Consider the following 22,926-nt stretch of genomic DNA (forward strand, 5'->3'; position numbering starts at 1 on the left):
TATTGAGTTTGTACTAATACAAAGTACCTAGCAGGATGCCTGACACATAGCAAACAAAAATGTTAGTTTCTTTCTCCTATAAACCTCTATATTCTTACTTTTCTTGAGTTAAAAACTTATCTGTACATTTGACCAAATAATGGAGGCTTAAAAATAACCTAATGACAGTAATATTTATCAGTTATTGATCACCCACCATGTGCCAGGCATTGTATTAGAGACTTCATGGATATTATATCTTAATCTTTACAATAACTCTATGAGGTATATATAATCCAAATTCTATAAATGAGGACAACTGAGGGTTTGAAGTCACATGATGGATAGGTTGTTAAACTATATTCAATTCCAGATCAGCGAAACTCCAAAAGCTGTGCTCTATTTATTATGCTATAATTCCTCTGATTATGAACATTAAACTAGATTGATAATATCCACCACTTACTTCATAGTATACAGCATATAGAGGATATCAGCTTGTTCCTGTAAGCTTGAGGTCTCCTTCAACTGTAAAACCAGTGCTTTAAAGTCCACCTCCCCAGACTGGTCTCTAGGAAGATGTATTTCTACACGAACAGAGGGAACCTTTAGTTTGAGAAATGATGACAAGAAATTAAGTTCACAAGTGCTCAACTTAAATAATGTCCTAGAATGAGTCATATTTTCACCTCTAAACCTTTTCCAAGGAATTCTTTAAATACTAATGAAAGGCAAAGCAAAAGTAATGAAACCTTCCAGATGTATAATACAGCAATCTAGTTTTCCCAAAGTCTGACCAGACAAACTTGCCCAATGTAAAAGTGAACTGAAAAGAACATGTATCTTCACCAGAATAGCATTTTGCGTACCACTAGTTAGTAACAAGAACCATAATGACTAGTCCTATTATTTCCCATAAAGATGGCAGTTTTTCAAAAAGCTAATAGAAATACCTCCTGCACAAATTTACCTGGTTCTCCTGTCGGGGATGAGGTGAATCAAGTAAGTTGAATGAAGGCCGGGAAGCCTGAAATAACTTCGTAGGAAGATACATGTGAACATCTGCAAAAATATGACATTTATGGGAAATATTAGGTAATTAGGAGACTAATAGAAATGCACAGTTGACTTCAACAATTAAGTCACATGTGAGTCAGTTCTTCATAGAACAAGAATGACAAATTTCTCCTTTCTTGGTAATATCAAAGAAAATAAATATGAATATAAGATAATTTAAATAATGTGCAATTAATAAGTATATTTTGAATTGAATTTCTAGAATTATAGCACTAGCTGGACATGTAAGATATTAAATTTACTAATGTGATTAATCCACGATGGTGCGTTCACTGATACTTTGATGGAATACGACATATAATAGAAAGAACTCAGTTGCATTTTCTATTTTCCGAACTTTTCTAGGTGAATATCTGGCTGCTAGTGGTTAAATTTCCCTAAGAATAAGTGAATGGATGATCCTATCTAGGGAATAAGAAAAATGTAGTTGCTGACCAACTTTGAGATATTCCTAAGATTTTTTACTTACAGTTCATTGTTGAAATACTTACCATCACTTCTAAGGAAAGATTTGTAATTTTCACCACTTTACAGATACAGAAAGAGAGATACAGAGCTCAAATAACTGTTCAAGCAAGTAAGTAGCAGAGCTGGGAATTAAGCCCAAGTTTTCTGGTTCACAATTGAGAAGTATAACAATAAATTTCATCTCTTCATATAAGCCCTTTCTCGAGGAAGCATACTCAGAGGGTATGCTGAGCTTTTCCCTATTATAAATGTTAAATGATTCCCAATGTTCATGTTTAATGTATTTGGTTAGTAATGGTCAATAAAGTTTTAGACAGCAAGAGCATGCATCTCAGTCATTCTCCTCATCTGTAAAATGTTAACATTCAGGTCTTCTAGGTGTGGCCAAGGAGCCCTTCTCTCCTTTCATATCCAGCTACTATAAAGACATTGAACACTCTTAGGAACTATGACTACTCCTGGCAATGTGTGGCAGAAGACACCCTCCACTGTGAATACAACTGAAGGAGGGTAGTGGCCATGGGGAGAAGAATGGCAAAGTTGTAAAGAATGAGTATTATATTTGACAAAACAGCTCTACATTGCTGGAACAACAAGAAAATTCCATAGAAGTAATTTTCCCAAAGGAAAAACCCTTTCTACCATTTCAAACTTTAATGTTATAGTTGAATATGCTCCATGTCTCTTGTTCTGCCTCTTCTTACCATGTTACCAGTTAAACCAGACTACATAGCACTACCTGCAGCATAACTATACACAATTCACTCATTTTACAAATATTTGAGTGTCTAATATGTTCTAGGTGCTGTCTGAGATGCGGGGGATAAAGCAGTGAAGAAAACTAAAGTTCCTGCTTACATTGTAATCAATGCCCGCCCCTATCCTGGGCTTCACGTCATCCTGTGCCTGACTCTGGTGAGTCACGGCATTACTCACTCTGTACATGCAGTTCCTTGGCCTTGGTCACCAAGGACATTAAGTCGCAGGTTGTTTGCACAGCAGCTTGGAACCGATCTAGCCCTCCCTTCTGTGAGGTAGGGGCTAGTTTAGGATGGGGAGCAGTGTGCGCCAAAAGGTGATCTAAATAACGAGCAACTTCATCACCACAGCGAGCTGCAAGGTTAGTGGGGGGAGGGGGAAGAGAAAAGAATGAAAATATTTTAGTTACTTTACAATCTACCCCAGCAAAGAGAATGATTGGCTCCTGTGCTCACAACACAGCACCAGAAGTAGGTTGTTTTTAGCTCATGGAGGAAAAGCTTGTGATCATGATATAACCTCATCACTTTAAGATCCAGTGACCATGGCCATTTACTAGGATCCACCTCCTCTTCAACTTGCTGAGACAAGGTCAGGGTTCTTGAAAGCAGTATGAGCTTGTTTTACATTGGAGCAAGCATTTAGCAATCTGTGTATTTGTGTGTGTGCATGTGATAGTAATGGTGGCAGGGATGGAGGAGGAACAGAACAGGGAGCTTCAGGTCACACTAATGTGAGGGGACTTTGGTGAGGAAGGGCCAGGAAAGGGCAAAAATCTTCTTAGTCACCTCGTTTGTTTACTCAGCAAATATTTGTTGGCTGCTATGTACCAGGCAGTGTACTAGGTGCTGACATTTCAGTGGTGAAGAGGATGGATATGGTCCCTATCTTCTTGGGCTCCCCTTCTCCCATATACCTTCTATAACATTATCTCTGAGTATGGGTAATGGAAAGAAAAACATACATATATCCTGTGGAAGCTTAATATTTCAGACTTTACATGAATATTCACAAGGTTTATAGTTAGAAAAACACACTATTCAGATCGATACCAAAGTCTGCTGTATCAGTCATGAGTCTTCTGGTTTTTGATGATATTTACTGATCTCTCCAGATGTCTTTCTGTGCTCTGATGTGACTAATGCGAACTAGTAGAGCTGTAAGAATGGAGCTCATATTCAGTGACATCCTAATGACAAAGATTGTAACCTTGAATACAATCTAGAGACTTGAGTGGAGGATTATGAAGAATATGGAGAGAAGCTCTTTACCCACAGAAGGGCTGGCAAGCAATAAATACATTCATTTTGAGAACACTGATGAGTAAACCCGGAACTAGGAAAGTGACTCAGAATGCCATAATGTCAAATTCAGTAACACGTATCATTAGAAATATATATTTTAGTAATCCAATGGAATGAGTACTACAGATAAAAATCACAACTACCCATAGAAGAGCAAACAATCTCAATATATGATCTTCTCATTTAATTTTCAAAGTATTTTATGCCAAGACATCATGACTTTTGTTATTACTGATAACAGTAAATAGCCTTGTATTTAATGTACTTTTCCAACAAAGAAATTCAACTGTTTTAGATCTTACAAAAACAAACACAGAATGAATGAAGTGGTGCTTAGTGAGTAAATGTCGGGCCCAAAAAAGAAAATAGTCCTTCTGACTGCTAATGTGTTGTCCTATTGTATGAGATTGTGCTGGCTGACCTCACTGAGGGCAGCAAATTTATTTTTTTCTTTTCTCCAACATACCACTCTTAAGATAAAGAAATTGGCTGCCTTAAGATACAGGCTAACAGTCAAATACCCAGACAATGAAAGCAGGCAAATCATATTTTAGAGGGCTAGACAAATAATTCTTTCTTATTGGCCCTTCTCTGTATGAAATTCAAGCAACATAATGCCTGCTCTGCCTAAGTCAGTATTTTAACACTGTAGGGTAGTGTTGCTCAGTCACTTTCAATGCATGCCCCTGCAATGCTTTCTCACTATATCACCTTTGTATTGCTAGAAGCCAATTAGAGTTTGACTTAGTTGTATTTGCCTAGTTTGTACTATGAAAATAACAGACATACTGAATAGGCTTTTTCAAACTACACAGACCTCCCCAGAGATTCCGATATGCTCCTCTAATATTATATGAAAAGGACTCTAATTAAATTTCATATTTTTATGCTTTTTAATGTCAAAAAGCAGTACTGTATATGTATTATTTTCCTACTTCATACTTGATTAATCATCTCTCACTCACCACTGCTTCTTCCCATGTCAAAATCACCAGCCACTTCAAATGCCTGGGAGAGGAATCTTCCCCAATCTTAGTAAGGGACTGTCCAACTCCATACTCCACAATTACCGCAGGAATATTAGACCAGAAACCAAAGGTAAGTAGAGGGAGGAAAAGTAAAGCCAAACAAAAGTAGAGATCTAGAGTGAGGATAGAACACTGTGAGACTGCTGGCAGCATAAATTATTAAGGATGGTGCTAAACAATATTTTGTAGTTTTGTCCAGCCAGGCCAGTGCTTTATGAAGCCTCCTTACCATGACTGGTTGAATCATAATCATTCATCCAGTTGCCAGATTCCAGGTAATCATAGTTGTCATCATAATCTTCACTGTACAGCTTACCCTCAGGTCCAGGGTCCATGAAGCTCAAGTGTGTGCAACAAGATGTTGTCAAAAACTCTGACAATTTACCTGTTTGAACCCTAAAAATTAGAGGAGGATAGAAAACAGAAAATCAGGGGTGATCCTTTTTAAACAACACAATCTTAGTGATAAAAGGACACCTAACATGTTTTGTTGGGGGATTACTAATGTGCATACATTAATATAAATTTTATAAAAATAAAATTTTACAGCACTCCTAGGCATGGTGTACATCTTAAATGGTTAGGGGACTGTATTAATAAAGGTTACAATTATGGATTAACAATCCACCAGCAGACCAGTTTTGCTCTCTTCTACTGCCATATATTACGTTGCTAACTATGCCAAACATCTGGTAAAAATTTGCATTGGCTACTGGAGAAGCCTGGAGAGAATGAAGATAAATCATCACAAACCCATCACTTCATTAAAAAAATACCCAAAGGTCATTTGAACATAAAGGATGGTACTTGACAATTCTGTAAATTATAGTAGACTGTAAGCCATATCGTCTCCTACTTATGAAGACAATTACAAAACCCAAAAGCAAAGTCAGCATTACCAAATTTCTAAAGAGGCCAACTTGAAGGGGCTATCAATGGCCACACCTTGGATAATTAAAATATTGAAATAATAACAGAAATGGATCATGGCATATTGAATAAAATAATAATCTATGAATCTGTGCTGATACTAAACTACAAAATAAAAGGGGGGAAGGGAAAGCTCTTTTTTTTAACATAAGAATTTCAACCAATAAATGTACACAGAATGATAGAAACACCATTTAATAACTCCAATAGTAATAAGTGAATTCACGCAAGGATCAACGGAAGCTAATACGATTTGATCAAAGACTGTTGGAGAAAGGATATGCAGAAACCTGGCAGATACCAGGTTGAACACTTTAACCAAGTGATCAAGGTTATCATCACCCAATAATGTCACAAACAAATCTCATGTGCCTCTGATATGATGCACTGAAAGAGACTGTAGTAAATTCTTATAATTGTATGTTTCCCTGGCATCTCTTTTGAATATAAGCTTAACTTTCTCATACCAGAAGCAGAGTTCAGGAATCTTTGACAGTTTCCAGTTCTACACCTCCCTCAGTTCCTCACTGTGGTCAGTCCACATATCTGCCTTATACAACTTCCTCCTGGTAACCACCTCCCTAAGGGACAGCTAAATATGATCTATTTGACTAGCCTCACTGATCCTCACATCCTACATGAACTATGCCAATATGCCACAGTGACCACCTCTCAGTCACAGTGTGACCTCCAGGAAGTCATGCCTACTTGCTTTAAACCCACCAATTAAAACTCCCCAAGGAATATCTGTTTGGATAATGCCCTGGACCTCAATAAAGGCATTGGCCCATGGGTCTCTCTTTTTCTCTCTCCACATGCTCCCTGACCTCAGTGTGTGTGGCCTCCAGGTATTCTGTGTACCTCACCTGCAGGACCTGTAAGTAATAAAATCTTTATTTCCATCTTGTGCCTCTCCTAACCATTGAAGGGGTGCTCTCCATCTTAAAGATCCTAACTTAAAACAAGGACCCAACATCACACAGGTAGTATTCCTGCCAAAAACATGTAGCCTGAATCTAATAATGAGAAACAACCAGCCAAATCCAAATTGTGAGATGTTCTGCAAAATAACTGACCTGCATTCTTCAAAAATGTAATGAAAACTCTCATGAAAGATTGACAAAAGGCTGGAGAACTCTTCTAGATTAAAAGATACCAAAGAGATATAACAACTAACTGCTAACATGTGATCTTTGATTGGATCCTGGATTGGTGGGAAAACAGCTATGATAAAACATTATTGGGATAATTGGGTAACTGTTCTTATTTCTCCTTCTACTTTATTTATTTATTTATTTCCAACTTTAATTTTAGGCTCAGGGGTACATGTGCAGATTTGTTACATGGGTAAACTGCATGTCACAGGGGTTTGGTGTACAAACTATTTCATCACCCATAGTAAGCACAGTATCCAATAGGTAGTTTGCAATCCTCACCTACCTCTCGCCCTCCATCCTCAAGAAGGTCCTGGTGTCTATTGTTTCCTTTTTTGTGTCCATGTCTACTCAATGTTTAGTTCCCACTTATAAGAGAGAACATGTGGTATGTGGTATTTGGTTTTCTGTTCCTGTGTTAATTTGCTTAGGATAATGGCCTCTATATGAATTCATGTTGCTGCAAAGGACATGATTTTGTTCTTTTTTATGGCACTGTAGTATTCCATGGTGCATTATATACCACATTTCCTTTAACAAGTCCACCATAGGTGGGCATCTAGGTTGATGCCCATCTTTATCTTTGCTATTGTGTCTAGTGCTGTGATGAACATATGCATGTGTCTCTATGGTATAATGATTTATATTCTTTTGGATATATATCCAGTAATGGGATTGCAGGGTAGAATGGTAGTTCTATTTTAAGTTGTTTGAGAAATCTCCAAACTGCTTTCCACAGTCTCCCAGGCTGGAGTGCAGTGGCACAATCCTGGCTCACTGCAACTTCCGCCTCCCAGGTTCAAGAGATTCTCATGTCTCAGCCTCCCAAGTAGCTAGGATTACAGGTATGCACCAACACGCCTGGCTAATTTTTGTATTTTTTGTAGAGAGAGGTTTTTGCCATGTTGGCCAGGCTGGTCTTGAACTCCTGGCTTCAAGTGATCTGCCCCCCTTGGCCTCCCAAACTAAGTGTGATGATTATATTATAGTTATATGTAAGAATGCACTTGTTCCTAGACAAAACAAAGAAAACTTAAGTATTTAGGGTTGAAGAGTTATGATGTCTATGGCTAATTATTTTAGCAAAAAAGCATGTGTGTACATGTGTGTATATATATGTATATATATATAAAACACATAGTATATGTAGTATGTACGTGTGTGTGTGTATATGCATATGTATGTGTATGGGAGGATGTAGGGAGGAAGAGAGAAAGGAAGGGGGGAAAGGCAGGAAGGGAGGGAAGGGAAGAAATAGAGAATGCACAGTGGGACAAAATGTTAATAACAGGTGAATCTTGAGAAAGGGTATATGGGTGTTCAGTAGTATTCTTGCAAATTTCTGTAAGCTGGAAATTTTTCAAAATAAAAACTTAAGTGGAAAAAGAAAAGAAAAGCAGCTGGAATCAAATAATCCAGTAGGCATTAAAAAAACAAAACAAAACAGGTTTTCTGATCCTTTGAGATCTAGGCAAAGAACAGGGTAGGAAAAACTTCCAACCTTCCTCTACAACATTAAATTCCTTGATTCAATCTATCAAACTCCTCTAAGTAGGATGGGATTATGTTATCGAAGATACAGTTAGCCCCCGCTTACTCCTGCAGGATATGTTCCAAGACCCCCTTGTGGATTCCTGAAACTGCAGATAGTACTGAACCTTATATATATACTGTGTTTTTTCTTATACATACATACCTATGATATAGTTTAATTTATAAATTAAGCATAGTAAGAGCTCAAAATAATAATGAAATAGAACAATTATAACAATATACTATAATAAAAGTTATGTGAACGTAGTCTCTCTCTCTGTCTCAAAATATCTTATTGTACTGTACTCACCTATTTGCAGACTACAGGTTGACCACGGGTAACTGAAATATCGGAGTCAAATTGTAGATAAGGGGGGACTATCATACACAGAAAGGCATCACAGGTATGCCACTACTATATCCAGCCCCTTAATTTCATTTCATTTCACTAAAGAGTGTATAGAGGTCACTTACCTTGCCCCACCAAAATACCCATCTTGCATTTTTCGGAGTGCTGCCAGGATACTTGAATTCAAGCTTGTTCCATCTTCATCTTGAAATGAACAGAATTTTAAAACAATCTTTGTGGTTTTAACTCTGAAGTAGGGAGAAATCTTGTAATTATTTCAAATCAACATTCTGGTGGTTACAATACAAATGAGACACTCCTCATTGACCATCCTGATTTTAACAATTCATCTGAGAGCCAACAACACTTAAGAATGGGTAAATGGTAAGGGATGATGACTGATAGATTTCCTCAAAGGCATTATCTTATTTGTCAGCATTATCTTATTTGTCAGAAGTACTTAGCACAGTGTCTGATGGCAGAACACTGAATGACTACTGAATGCTGATAATACCAGTAGCCACTACTTGTTGAATGTTATGTGCCAAGCACTGTGCTAAACATTTTATACACATTATCTCATATAAAGAACCTTGGCACATATGTCTGTGTATAGGCATAAAAAATATCTAGAAAGCTAACAATTACCTGATTTTATGTGGAAGTAATCATACTACATATACTCTTTCATGATCTGCTTTCTAACTTTACCTTTGTAATAGCTAAAAATAATTCTTACTAAATTTAGACTGTTTTATATTATAATCAACACTGTAATGAAGACCATTGTACCTACATCTTGATGCACTTATTCTATTATATCCTTAGGTTAAATTCTTACAAGTAGAACTATTAGGACAAATGAAACACTTACTAAGTAAATTTACAGAGACTGCCAAATTACCCACTATAAGAGTTGTGCCAATTATATTTCCACCAACAGTATAGAAAGACTTTTTCCTACACTTTTTTTTTTTTTTTTTTTTTTTTGAGACAGAGTCTCGCTCTGTTACCTAGGCTGGGGTGCAATGGCTTGATCTCGGCTCACTGCAAGCTCCGCCTCCCGGGTTCACGCCATTCTCCGGCCTCAGCCTCCCGAGTAGCTGGGACTACAGGCGCCCGCCACCACGCCTGGCTAATTTTTTGTATTTTTTTTGTTTTTTTTAGTAGAGACGGGGTTTCACTGTGTTAGCCAGGATGGTCTCAATCTCCTGATTTCGTGATCCACCTGCCTCGGCCTCCCACAGTGCTGGGATTACAGGCGTGAGCCACCGCGCCAGGCCTTTCCTACACTTTTAACAACAATGGGCAATAATCTTTTAAATTTTTCTTAATCTGATAGGTAAAACAAGAAGATATTGTTTTAATTTTATTGCCAATAAGATTATGCATATTTTCATGTATTTACTAAAAATCTGTATTTCTTTTATGAATTGCCTGATCATGTCCTTTTCCCATTTTTCCATTAGGTAGTTTATCTTTTTTCAATTGACTTTCAAGAGTTTTTCGTGTTTTGTGGATATTACCCTTTTCGCTCTCATATGTATGACAAATACTTTATCTAGTTTATTATTTTTCTTTCAACCGCATCCACAGTGCTTTTGATATAAAAGATTTCATTTTCATGTTTCAAAATCTGACAATATTTTATTTTTGTGTCTTGCAAAGGACAGCTCTCTTCAACCTAAGATAACAAAAATATTCCCATATATATATATATATATATTCCCATATAAATATATATATATATATTTTTTTTTTTCAAATGGAGTCTGCCTCTGTCATGCAGGCTGGAGTGCAGTGGTGCAATCTCGGCTCACTGCAACCTCCGCCTCCCGGGTTCAAGTGATTCTCCTGCCTCAGCCTCCCAAGTAACTGGGACTACAGGCGCGTGCCACCACACCTGGCTGTATTTTTAGTAGAGATGGGGTTTCACCATGTTGGCCAGGCTGCTCTCAAACTCCTGACCTCAAGTATCCTCCCGCCTCAGCCTCCCAAAGTGCTGGGATTATAGGTTTGAGCCACCCTGCCCAACCTCCCATATTTTTTTCTAAGACTCTCACAGGTTTATTGTTTATGTTTAGCTCTTTAATCTATTTAGAATGTATTTTTGCAAAAAAAGTAAAGTAGCAAGCCTAAATGAATTATTTTCCCAAATGTATTTATATTAAATTTTGTCTCTATTTGAAATTCTATCTTCATCATTGTTTTAATTACAATGGATCTTTCACTTTCTTTTTAAAAATCTGGTTATTCATTTACATTTTCTCTTACATATGAAATCAAGGTTCAGCTTGTTCATAAAAATTTATGTTTTTATTATTATTGGGAATTGCCTGAATTGATATAATGAAAGTGGGTAATTTCTCAATATTAACTATTTATGTCTAGGAACATGGTGTACCTCTCTACTAATTAAAATATTTTATTGTCTTCAATAGTTTTATAGTTTTTCTCATACACTTTTATAAGTGTTCCTATTCAGCTTATACTTGTATTCTTACTTTTCTAGAAAATCTGTCAATTTTATCTAGATGTACAAAATTGTAGTTGGTATTCTTTTACAGTGTTTAAAGTCTCCTCTATTTCTGTTGCTATATCTCCTTTGTCTTTCCTAACACTTTTACTACCTGTTTTTTTCTTTACTCTGAGTTCTACTTTACCAGATATTAATGTAGCTACTTCTGCTTTTTAAAATTAATGTTTACATGGTATATCTTTTTCCTTCCTTTTCTTTTCAGTCTACGTATATTGTGATATTTGAACTGATGTATTTAGGCTATTTAAAGTAATTATTGATATGTTAGGATTAAGTTTGCCATTTTATTGTTTTCTATTTGTACCTCTGTTCTTCATTTGTCTATTTTCTTCTTCCTGCCTTCTTATGGGTTACTTTTACATTTTTTAGAATGCCATTTTGATTTACCTATACTGGGTTTGACTGTTATCTCCTTCTATAGGTTTCTTAGTGGTTACTCCAGGCATTGTCTTATATATACAAACATGATGCATATATCACTCTTTACTAGTGTCAACATTATACCAATTAAAGTGATGTATAGAATCTTATCTCCCATTAAGGTCCTTACTTTTCCCCATTTATAATATACTTGCCTTGAATATTTCTTCTACATACTTTGAGAACTATATTAAGCAATGCTTATCAAGCATAATTTAGAAAATTGAAGTGGAAGGAGTTCGGGACCAGCCTGGCCAACATGGCGAAACCCCGTCTCTACTAAAAAAAATACAAAAACTTAGCCGGGCATGGTGGTGCATGCCTGTAATCCCAGCTACTGGGGAGGCTGAGGTAGGAGAATCACTTGAACCCGGAAGCTGGAGATTGCAGTGAGCTGAGATTGTGCCATTGCACTCCAGGCTGGGTGACAGAGAGAGACTCTGAAAAAGAAAAAGAAAAAGAAAAAGAAAAAGAAAAAGAGCGGGGGTGGGGGAGAGAGAGAGAGAGAGAGAGAGAGAAAGAAAGGGAAAATTGAAGTGGAGAAAGTCTATTGTATTTACTCATATTTTCACTCCTATTTTTATTTTTTCTTTTTGATGTTTCAAGATTCCATCTATTATTATTTCCTTTCTGTTTCAAGAACTTTCTTCAAACCATTCTTTTAGGGCAGATCTCCTGCTGACAAATTCACTTAGCTTTCCTACATCTGAGAATGTCTTTTTTCCTTTTATTCTTGAAGTACACTGGATAGGGCAAAATTCTTGGTTTAAAATTCTTTTTTTTTTCAGTACTTAAAAAATGTTGTGTCACTTCCCTCTGGTGTCCATGGTTTCTGATGATAAATTTGCTGTCATTCTGTTTGTTGCTTATAGAAATGGTATTGTTTCTTTCTGGCCACTTTCAAGATATTTCTTCTTTAATGTTCAAGAACTTTATTATTATGTGTTTTGACATGGATTTTACCATGTTTAAGATTTTCTCATTTTTTAAAAAATTTGTAGGTTTATGTCTTTTACCAATTTTTCAGTCATTATTAGTTGGAATGCTTTTTCTGATTTTCTCTCATACTTTTTCTCCTCTTTCTGAAACTTTTATAACATGAATGTTAGATCTTTTTAACGTGAATGTTAAAAAATGTTAAATCTTTTGTTATTAGTCCTACAGGTCTTTGAGGCTCTGTTCATATTTTTTCAGGTTTTTTTTTTTTTTTTTTTTTTTACTGTGTTGTTCAGAATGGGTGATTTCTACAGTTCTGTATTCAACTTCACTCTGTTGTCTCCATTCTGCTACTGGGCCTATCTAGTGAGTTGTCCATCTCAGTTATTATATTTTTCAGTCCTAAAACTTCCATTCAGTTCTTTGTATTTTCAGTTTCTTTGCTAAGACTTACATTCTACTTTGTCATTAGTTTCAAGTGTGATTGTAATTGTGTGTTAAAGTGTTTTTATGATAACTGTCTTAAAATCTTTGCATGATAACACCAACATTTGTTGATATCTGTTGATCACTGACACCACACTGGCTGAAGGGGGAGGAGCTCCTCTACTTTTGGGCGAGGATGAAAGTTTAAGCTCCCCACTAGCCCTTCTCTGATACTACTCCTAAGAGGGAGAGGGATGCCTCTTCAGAGCTGTGCAAGCGTGGAAGTCTAGAGTCCCCACTCAGTCTCTGCTGACAGGGGCATAAGTGGGGCCTAGTAAAATAGGGTCTAAAAGTTTTCTGTCTCTCTAGGTTGCTCCTTTCCTGTTCCTTCAGCTAGACAAAGCAGATTTTCCTTGGGTCTTTAAAAAAACCTGTTTTTCCTTTTTTTTTTTTCTTTTTGTATTTCTGAGATGTCAGCTTCTCTAGCTTCCAGTCCAGGACATATAAGGCCCAGGATATTTACTGCTCTGCTGTTCTTCAGGTCTTAAAGTCTCTAGCTGATCTGCCTGGTTTCCAACTTTCAGAGTTTTCTTATGTTTGTTTTATATATGTCAAGGATTTTTAGCTGCACTTAGCAGGAGGAATAGGGAGAAGTGAGTCTATGCCATCTTGTCTCAAAACTAAAAGTCACTTTTTAAAAGTAGAAGTATTTAAGGATATGAAATTTTCTAAATATGATTTTGACCAAATCTCATAAATTATAAGTAGTGGTATCATTTTTCATTTCTAAGAAGCATATAATTTCAAATTTGACTTTCTCTTTAATCTAATAATTATTTGGGAAAAAATATAATTCCTTTATAGTTAGATTCTTTTTAACTATTCTGTGTTAATTAGTTTTATGTCACGTATCTGGCAATATCGTTTGTATGATTTCTACTTTTTAACCATAAACATTCTTTGTGTGTTCTGCCTTTTTGGATACATAGTTATATATACACCCATAAATACAAAAATCAAGTTTGTTACTCCTCTATGTCTTTAATTATTTTGTATAATTGATCTGTGACATTCTGATAGAAGTATGTTGTTGTTTCCCATCATGAATATATAATAGTTTTGTGATATTGTCCCTAAGTTTTCTTAAATACTTGCTTTATACATTTAATTCACATTATTGAGTACATAAAATTTTATATATGTTATATCATGTTGGTGTACTATTTATCAATATAAAATATCCTTCTTATCCCATTTACTGATTTTTGCCTTGAATTTTATTTGCTATTTTTGATATTAATACTGCGACCACTGCTTTCTTGTCAGCATTTACATGATATATCTTTACATATTCTTTTCTTCCATCTTTTTTTATGATTTTATTTTAGGGATATCTATTGTAAATAGCATCCACCTGGATGCCATTTATGTATTATTTTTGCTCTTTTATGTATTACAGGAATCTTTGTCTGTAATATGAGAATTTAACTAATCCACATTTCAATGTGATCACTAATGTTTATTCTCTTTTCAGCAGCACAAAATTTTCACTGGCAAAAACACACTGTTGTTGGTAATGTTGCAGGGACTGAAAGATCTTGTTTGAGGCCTGGCTCTGTCACTTACTAGCTTTGTGACTTTGGATAATGAGTACCTGCCTGAATAAGAGTGTTGTAGAGATTTCAAAATAATTAATTGAAAACACTTAGCTCAGTGCCTGGCACAGAGAAAGTATTCAGTAAATATTACAGTTATTATTGCTATTGTTATTGTTGTTTTTGTTATGTGACCACATATCAAGTACCAAAAATGCTTGATTTAAGCCTAGATCTTTAGTTTTATTCTGCTTCCCAAGCTGTGGCTATGTATCTCATCCCAACTCTCAGGTATTTCAATTCTGAAATCTCTTTGTCACTACAAATTCATGTCCCTTTATAACTGGCTTCTTCATATAAAATGTCTCTGATTCTATCAATGCAGCAACATTTACCTAGTGCTATGATCTGAATGTGCCCCCAAATTCGTTTGTTGAAACTTAATCACCAATGTGATAGCATTAAGAAGTAGGCCATCTAGTGTGATTAAGTCATGAGTGTGCAGCCATCATGGATGGGATCGGGGCCCTTATAAAAGGGCTTAAGAGAGTGGGTTTGCTTCTTTTCTGTCCCTTCTACAATGTAAGAACACATGTGTGTCTGCTGCAGAGGATGAAGCAACAAGGCACCATCTTAGAAGGAGAGACTTCAGGTCCTTCCCAGACACCAAACCTGTCAGCACCTTGATCTTGGACTTCCTAGCTCCCAGAATAGTACAAAATAAAATTCTATTGTTTATAAATTACCAACTTTTTGGTATTTTGTTATAGCTATCTTAATTCATACCTTATATCTAGTTATCCAATATCTGAGTTGGGTGTTGCTTAAAATGACTCATATCTTTCTTTTTCATTCTACTTTTATTACCTCCAATCCAGTGTACTTTCTCTTCACCTCATATGTGGATTAGTTTCTTTGACATCAGTCTCTCCTCACTACAATGTGTACTGTCACCAATAGTCCCCAAACATCATTTTTATCATATTACTCCTTGCTCAAAACCTTTTGATAGTTTCAGACTTCTGAGAAAAATCTATATTAAATATCTTTGCTTATTTTCAAGGTCTTCATTATTGAACCCTACCTTACTTTTCCCATTTTGCTTATAATTATACTCCAACACACAAACTCCACTCTATTCAGGAGAACTTCATTCTCCTCTCACAGGTCAAGTTCATTCTTGCCTCTAGGGCTCACTCATGGTATTTTCCTCCTCACTTATAGTACCTTTCCTTCTGCTCTCCTGTCATCTGAATACTATCCATTCCAAAAAGCCTGGTTAAGTCCTACCTCAGTTGAGAAATTTTCTTTGTCAACTGGATCTCCTTCACTGTAAAATACTGACCTAATGGTTTAGTAATTCTTTATATATTGTCTTAAGTTGTTTCTATCATTCTTGCATATTAGCTTTTCGTCTCCAATTAGACTTTATACTTTCTGAAGACAATTCTGCAAATATAGTAGTTTTTAAATGGGTACTTGTGTTAACTGTCTTAAGTAATGAAGAAAGACAAAGAGAAGAAAGACTACCCTACTTCCTCAAATCCTGTGATATTGAAGCACTTTTGAGATGTGACCAAAATCCCTAACAGTCTGTCTGGATTTTGAATGATTAATAATAAGGGATTTTTCTTTAATGAAAAGGAATTCTATATACTTTGGCAGTACAAACAGGTCTTTGGAAGCAACAGGAGAAACACAGAAAGGAAGCAGTCGCTTCAGTATTGGCTCTAGTCCTCCAGGAACTGAGAGAATAATAAAGCCTTTCACCCAGTTTCAAGTAAGCAATGTCAGGAAATCCAGTCAAAAAAAAAAAAAAAAGAGGAAACGTAAGCCAAAAGCCTTTTGGCTTTTTCCCCTACTAGATTTTACAGCTTCCGTTAGGCTTTGGAAGAAGCAGCCTGGGAAATTATCTATAAAATCTTGATGTACCACTAGAGTAAGAAATATGCAGATACAGTATTACTGTCTTTAAAAATAATTGTATGAATAAAATTTCTGAAAATTGACCTAGAAACTAATTATCTAAAGTAACCACCAACCAAGTTTTAAATTATCCTCCACTACATTTTTTGAATTATAGCTCTCAAACTATCTGAAAACTATTCAATTATAGCTCTGAAATTACTCTTGTATGTTGATTTATGTATTACATATAGTCTGTCTTCACCTTCTAAAGCATAAGCTCCATGAGAACGGAAACCTCATCTGCCTTATTCACTCCATGTGTCCCCAGTGCTTAGAAAAGTGCTTGGCATAAAATAGGAGCCAATAAATACTGCTGAAAGAATAAATTATAAGAAGTAGCTCTCTAGAAACAACAAGATGTTGAAGGGCTAAATCTATGACTTATTTCCAAAATACATTCGTTCCTTGCCTCATGCAGCCCTTACCAAGCATGCTGTGTGAGATGGGGAAGGTGATGGTGGGCTGGCCTGTCATCCGCCAGCGGCTACAGAGGTAGGAGAGGTCTGTTCTAAGCATTTCCACTATCATCTTGTTGTCCAGAGCCAGGTAGAACTGTTGCTGGTCTATAAACTGAGACAAATAAAAATAATAGATTAGATTAATTTACTCTCACAATTATCAAGTAATATTTTAAACTACTCATATATTCAGAAGAGTATCCAAGATGTCACAGGGCAATGATACCCCCACATTTAATGTCTAATACATTCCAAAGTATCTGGGGTTAACTGGCACATATAATAATTTCTGACATTTTTACGGTATGCTGCAGTTTACGAAGTATTTTTAAGTATATAATTTTATTTAATCCTGTAACCCCCCAGTGAGGGCTTTTCTTCTTTTAATAGATGAAAAATAAGGCTAAGAGATGATACGTGGATTAGTGAAATCATATGGCTAGCAAATGACAAAGTCAGAAATAGAATCTATGATCCATTACTCTTTTGTTTATACCTACCTCAGCTGCACTATTTCAAATGTAAGATGACAAATGGGGAGTTTAAGCTTTCTTTCCAGAAAATAGTTTCTCCTCCCCATAAACACATACAATCAGGTTTGTTATTATCATGTAGCTAATAAACATCAGGCTAACAACGTGTTTAATAACAGCTAAAACAGTACCGACATTTTTGTTTAGAAGAGGATACTGAAGATTTCTATGAATGTAAAAAGGGCCCTTCCTCCAAACAAAGAAAACATAATTTAGTAGCTGAATAAAAAAGGTTGTATTTTGTTTATAAAGGACACATACAGTTTTATTTTTAACTTTTAAAAGTAAGGATTACTTTTATAAGTACTCTAGCATTTGTAAAATCCTTAGTTTCTGCAATACCCAGGGTTACTTTTGGCAGTTACAATCACTTAGTGAAACTCTGTGCTGGAAGTTCAATTCAGTTCAACTCTATAAATATTAACTGAGTAAGTTATGTGCAAGGCCTGGTGGAACTCTTTGACACTTATCCCAACTCCAGTAAATGCTTTATTTCTCCAATGATTTTCTTTTATTTCCATTCATCTCAATGCACATTCCAGTTTATTTCACCCACCTGTGGAGTGAAAGTAAAGATAGTTTTCCGAATGTCATAGAGTTTTGAAGTTCCAAGCACTCCCATGTGTCTGTAGGGTCGTCCACTGAGTTTCATTCTATTGTTGCATCCTGATACAGAATTGAGAAATGGTAAAAATATTTCTAGAGCACAAATCAAATCAGCAAACATTTTTACATATATATATATACACACACATACACAATGTATGTATATACATATAGACACACACACACATCCACTGTATTTCCTTGAATTTAAATTGTCTTCTTTTTACAGTTTAGCATTCTGAAATTGGAATCCAACCTATAATTGAGATCTATGTTAAATGTAGTTGAATTTCTTTTCGTCTTCCAAAAGGGAGTTATAAAATCAATACCTCTTACGATGAGAAAATAGTTTATTCACACACACATTTTTCTTTTATATCATAGGATAACACTGTTTATATTGTTCTGAAACTGTTTTACCCAAAACACGTATTAAATATGCTTTCATGTCAGTACTGACAGGACTACTACTTTTTTATTTTTTTGACTAGAACACATTTTTCTTGGGAATTTAATTTTTTTCATTTGCTTTACGTAAGTGTTATACTTATCAAATATGCCAGTTTTAGTGTTGCTTTACTCTTAGGGGGCTAGCATCAGAGAATTGTTAAAGCCTTGGTCATATTCCAGGGTCCATGCAGTAAAGCACACATTTTACCTGAGATTGATGTCACAACCAGGTTTTCCCACTACTCCTTACTTTTTGTTTCTATTTAATACTGCAAAATATACACAACATAAAATTTACCATTTACCATTTTAATAACCTTAAGTTCAGTGGCATTAAGTACATTTACATCATTGTGCAAACATCACCACCAACTATCTCCAAAACTCTTTCATCTTCCCAGACTGAAACTCTATTTATTGAACAGTAAGTAACTTTTCATGTCCTCTGCTTCCCAGCCTCTGGCAACCACTGTTCTACTTTGTATCTCTATGAATTCGGTATCTCATATAAATGGAATAATACAATATCTTTCCTTTTGTAACTAGCTTATTTCATTTAGCATAGTCTTCAAAGTTCATCTATGTGTAGCATATGTCAGAATCTCCTTCCTTTTTAAGGCTTAATAATATTCCATTTTGGGTATACATTTTGTGTATACATTGCATATTGTTTATCCATTCATTGATGGACATTTGGGTTGTTTCCACTTTTTGGCTATTGTGGGCAATGCTGCACATTGATGTAGAAAATGTTCAAGTTCCTATTTTTACTTCTTTTGGATATATACTCAGAAGTGTAATTGCTGGATTATATAGTAATTCTATGTTTAATTTGTTTGAGGGACTGCCATACTGTTTTCCATAGGGGCTGACACATTTTACATTCCCATCCACAGTACACAAGAGTTTTCATGTCTCCACATCCTCATGTTGGCTATTCAGGGTCCCTTGAGATTCCATATAAATTTTAGAACAATTTTTCTATTTTACAGAAATCATCATTTGGGCTCTTGATAGGGCTTGCATAGAATCTGTTGATAGCTTTGGGTTGTACTGGTATCTTAACAATATTATGTCTTCTAACCCACAAAGACAGCATGTCTTTCCATTTATTTGTCTCCTCTCTATTTCTTTTAGCAATGTTTTTCCATTTTCAGTGTACAAGTCTTTCACCTCTTTGGTTAAGCCTATTCTTAAGTATTTTATTCTTTTTGATGCTATTATAAATGGAACTGTTTTCTTAATTTCCTTGTCAAATTGTTCATTTTTAGTGTATAAAAATGTAACTGACTTTTGTGTGCTGATTCTGTATCCTATAAGTTTGCTGAATTTGTTTATTAGTTCTCACAGGTTTTTTTTGTTTTTGTTTTTGTTTTTTAAATAAAACCATGTCATGTGTGAATGGAGACCATTTTAATTTTTCTTTGCCAATTTGGATGTCTTTTATATCTTTTTCTTGTCTAACTGCTCTGGCTAGAACTTCCAATGATGGCCGACTGTGATGGTGTGTGCCTGTTGTCCCAGAGACTAAGGTGGGAGGATCCCTTGAGCGCAAGAGTTTGTGACCAGCCTGGGCAACACAGTGAGAGCTTCTCTCAAAAAAAAAAAAAAAAAAGCTATGTTGAATAGAAGTCTGGGTGTCTGTTTTATTTTTTTCTTTTGTCTTTTATTAATTTTATTAATTTACCAATTAATAACAAGTCATGGTTTTCTAAGTCATGTCTTCTTTTTTCAATGCTGAATACGGTGTATAAAGAATTGTAGAGGCTCTGGATGACATTATTTCCCTCCAGAGAAGATTCAGTTTATTTTAGTAGGCAGATACAGTATAAGCAGATCTTCTTAGCCCAATCAGGAATTAAGAAGATTGTGTTTTAGGATTTGTATTTGAGGCTTTCTAAGAACTCGTCTATTTATGGTTTTTCCTTACTCCTAAGGTGTAGTCCATTCTTTAGGGGTTTCAACTGAAAGCCCAAGGTGTTTATCACAGCCCCTTCCACATAGGAAGGTCCTGAAATGCAATTTTTGTCTCCGTAGAACAGTGAGACTTCCTGCTTAGTTTCTTGGCCCCTTACTTCATGCAAGCAAAACTTAAGAATCAGCAAATGCCTCAAAGGTAAACTGCACAGAGAATAGTGAGTTTATTCTTTGAGTGTCCCTTCTGTCCAAGGTTTTAGTTTCTCAAGTTCTGGCTGTTGTAATTACTCTCTGAAGCCTTCACTCACCTTCATTTTTAAAATTCAGCCATTCCAGTTATTGTTAGTATGACAGCCCAATACAAGCTATTTCATCACAGCTGGAAGCTGAAAGTCTACCTTTTTAGCTATGATACAATATACATAATTCTACCATTCTTGTTTATACACATTATAGTACTTCTAATTGTTGTTTTGCCACCACAGATTATAATGTAGTGAACATCCTTGAATATATGCCCTTGTGTACTTGTACGAATGTTATATAGGATAGATTCTGGGCTGGGTGCAGTGGTTCACGCCTGTAATTCCAGCACTTTGGGAAGGAGGCCAAGGTGGGCAGATCACAAGGTCAGGAGTTCGAGACCAGCCTGGCCAACATGGTGAAACCCCGTCTCTACTAAAAATACAAAAATTAGCCAGGCATGGTGGCAGGCACCTGTAATCCCAGCTACTTGGAAGGCTGAGGCAGGAGAATCAGCTGAACCTGGGAGGCGGTGGTTGCAGTGAGCCGAGATCGCGCCACTGCACTCCAGCCAGCCTGGGCAACAAGAGCAAGACTCCATCTTGGGGGGAGAAAAAGAAAAAGAAAAGGGTAGATTCCTAGAAGTAAGGTTGTTGGTCAAAGACATGTGCATTACATTTTTTTATAGGTAATGCCTACCTGCCTCTAATTTACACTACCAGGAGTGCTGAGAGTGTCCACATCTCCACATATTCATCAGCACTGGATATTGGCAATCTTACCTTTTTTTTGTAAAATTGATGGGCAAAAAATTACATAGCACTATTCTTTTATCTTACATTTTCACAATCATTGGTGAGGTTGAAACTATGATAACTTAAAAAATATAGTACTAGGAAAGAAGAAACAGTGATCAGCAGCACCAAAAAGTAAGATTAAAAGTATCCACACATGTGAGTGAGTATATGCATGTACAGTAAATTATAAAGGTGGAACTTCAAAACAACCTATATATGAACTATTCAATCAGTAGTGCTGGAACGATTGGTTACTTGGCAAAAAGTCAGATTTTTACCTCATTGGATAAACTAAAATTAATATTATAGCCTAAGACTTAAATGTAAAATTGTAACCATAAATAACAAAGAAAATGCAGTGAAAATGTATTTGACCTAGGGATGGGACTATCTTTCTAAGTGTAACAGCAAGGAAAGAATCCAAAAAAAGAGAAAATTTTACTACATAAAATATAAAACTTCTATACATGAAAAGCAGCACAAAATTAAAGGGCAAATAACAAAATAGCAAAATATTTCAATAACATGTGGAAGAGAAAGTGTCAGTATCCCTAATATATTTAAAAATACCTCATGGAAATCAGTAAGAAATCAACAAGTATCCAGTAGAAAAATGGCAAAAGAATATAAGGAGACGATTTGCAAAATTAACAGAAAAAGGCTATTTATGAAAATAACTTTTGAAGAAATTACGTTAATACAGCTATCAAACTGGATTGTAGGTGGCTACTTACCAAAATGTAACAGAGTTTATCATATACTGTTATTTTTCAAGAAAAACAGAATGCAAAATCCATTCTTAATGATATCATTTTTCTAAAAACATGTTTGTACTTATTTTATTTAAAATGATTGGAAACAAATATGCCAAAATAAAAGGTGGCTTCCTCTGAGTGGTGGAATTACAGGCGATTGTTATCTTTTTCCTTTGTGCTTGTCTGTTTTCCAGTTCCCTGCAGTCAATGCATACATACCAATTTGTAATCAGATAACTTACAACTTATGAAATTTGGAGAGAACCAGAATAGCATACCTATTCAGATAGAATTAGGAGATAAATTCATAATTCTTGAAGGACTGAAAAATATATCTGATAAAATGGATGTATCTAATATTTAAAGATTTGTACACAGGCAAGAAAATAATTATCTAAAAGAAAGTAACAGACTAGGAAATATATATAAGTCTCACTGATAAAAGCTTACCATAAAATATAAATAATTGATAAATATATACAGAAATGTGCAGACCCTATTAGATAAGCAAGCAATTGTAGACACATAGTTTCAAAAAAAGAGGTAAAGCAAAAATAGAAAAACGTACAGGTCCCTGGGAATTAAAGATAGAAAATTAAAATAATTTATACATACTAAAACCTACTTATCTAACAAAAATAAATAAAACTCCAATGTTAGTGGGGTAGTAAAAAAGAAAGGTATATTTTATATCTTAGTTAT

At 35.4% G+C, this 22,926-nt stretch overlaps 1 protein-coding gene across 8 annotated transcripts in view; it reads right to left on the reverse strand.

Moving 5' to 3' along the window:
- The window catches only part of PHKA1 (phosphorylase kinase regulatory subunit alpha 1), a 135,493-nt gene that overhangs the window by 39,451 nt on the left and 73,116 nt on the right, over positions 1 to 22,926 (reverse strand). For 5 of the 8 annotated variants that reach the window (NM_001440787.1, XM_047442160.1, NM_001122670.2 and 2 more), the window contains 7 exons: positions 18,013 to 18,122; positions 16,891 to 17,035; positions 8,707 to 8,785; positions 4,845 to 5,011; positions 2,461 to 2,637; positions 950 to 1,041; positions 446 to 585 (listed from right to left, as the gene is read on the reverse strand). In NM_001440787.1, the coding sequence (NP_001427716.1) occupies positions 446 to 585; positions 950 to 1,041; positions 2,461 to 2,637; positions 4,845 to 5,011; positions 8,707 to 8,785; positions 16,891 to 17,035; positions 18,013 to 18,122 (910 nt within the window). The remainder of the gene's footprint in view (positions 1 to 445; positions 586 to 949; positions 1,042 to 2,460; positions 2,638 to 4,844; positions 5,012 to 8,706; positions 8,786 to 16,890; positions 17,036 to 18,012; positions 18,123 to 22,926) is intronic. The other 3 variants (NM_001440788.1, NM_001172436.2, XM_006724661.3) reach the window with 1 other exon arrangement.

The sequence above is a fragment of the Homo sapiens genome, chromosome X (assembly GCF_000001405.40).
Source record: "Homo sapiens chromosome X, GRCh38.p14 Primary Assembly".
Taxonomy (NCBI): Eukaryota; Metazoa; Chordata; class Mammalia; order Primates; family Hominidae; genus Homo; species Homo sapiens.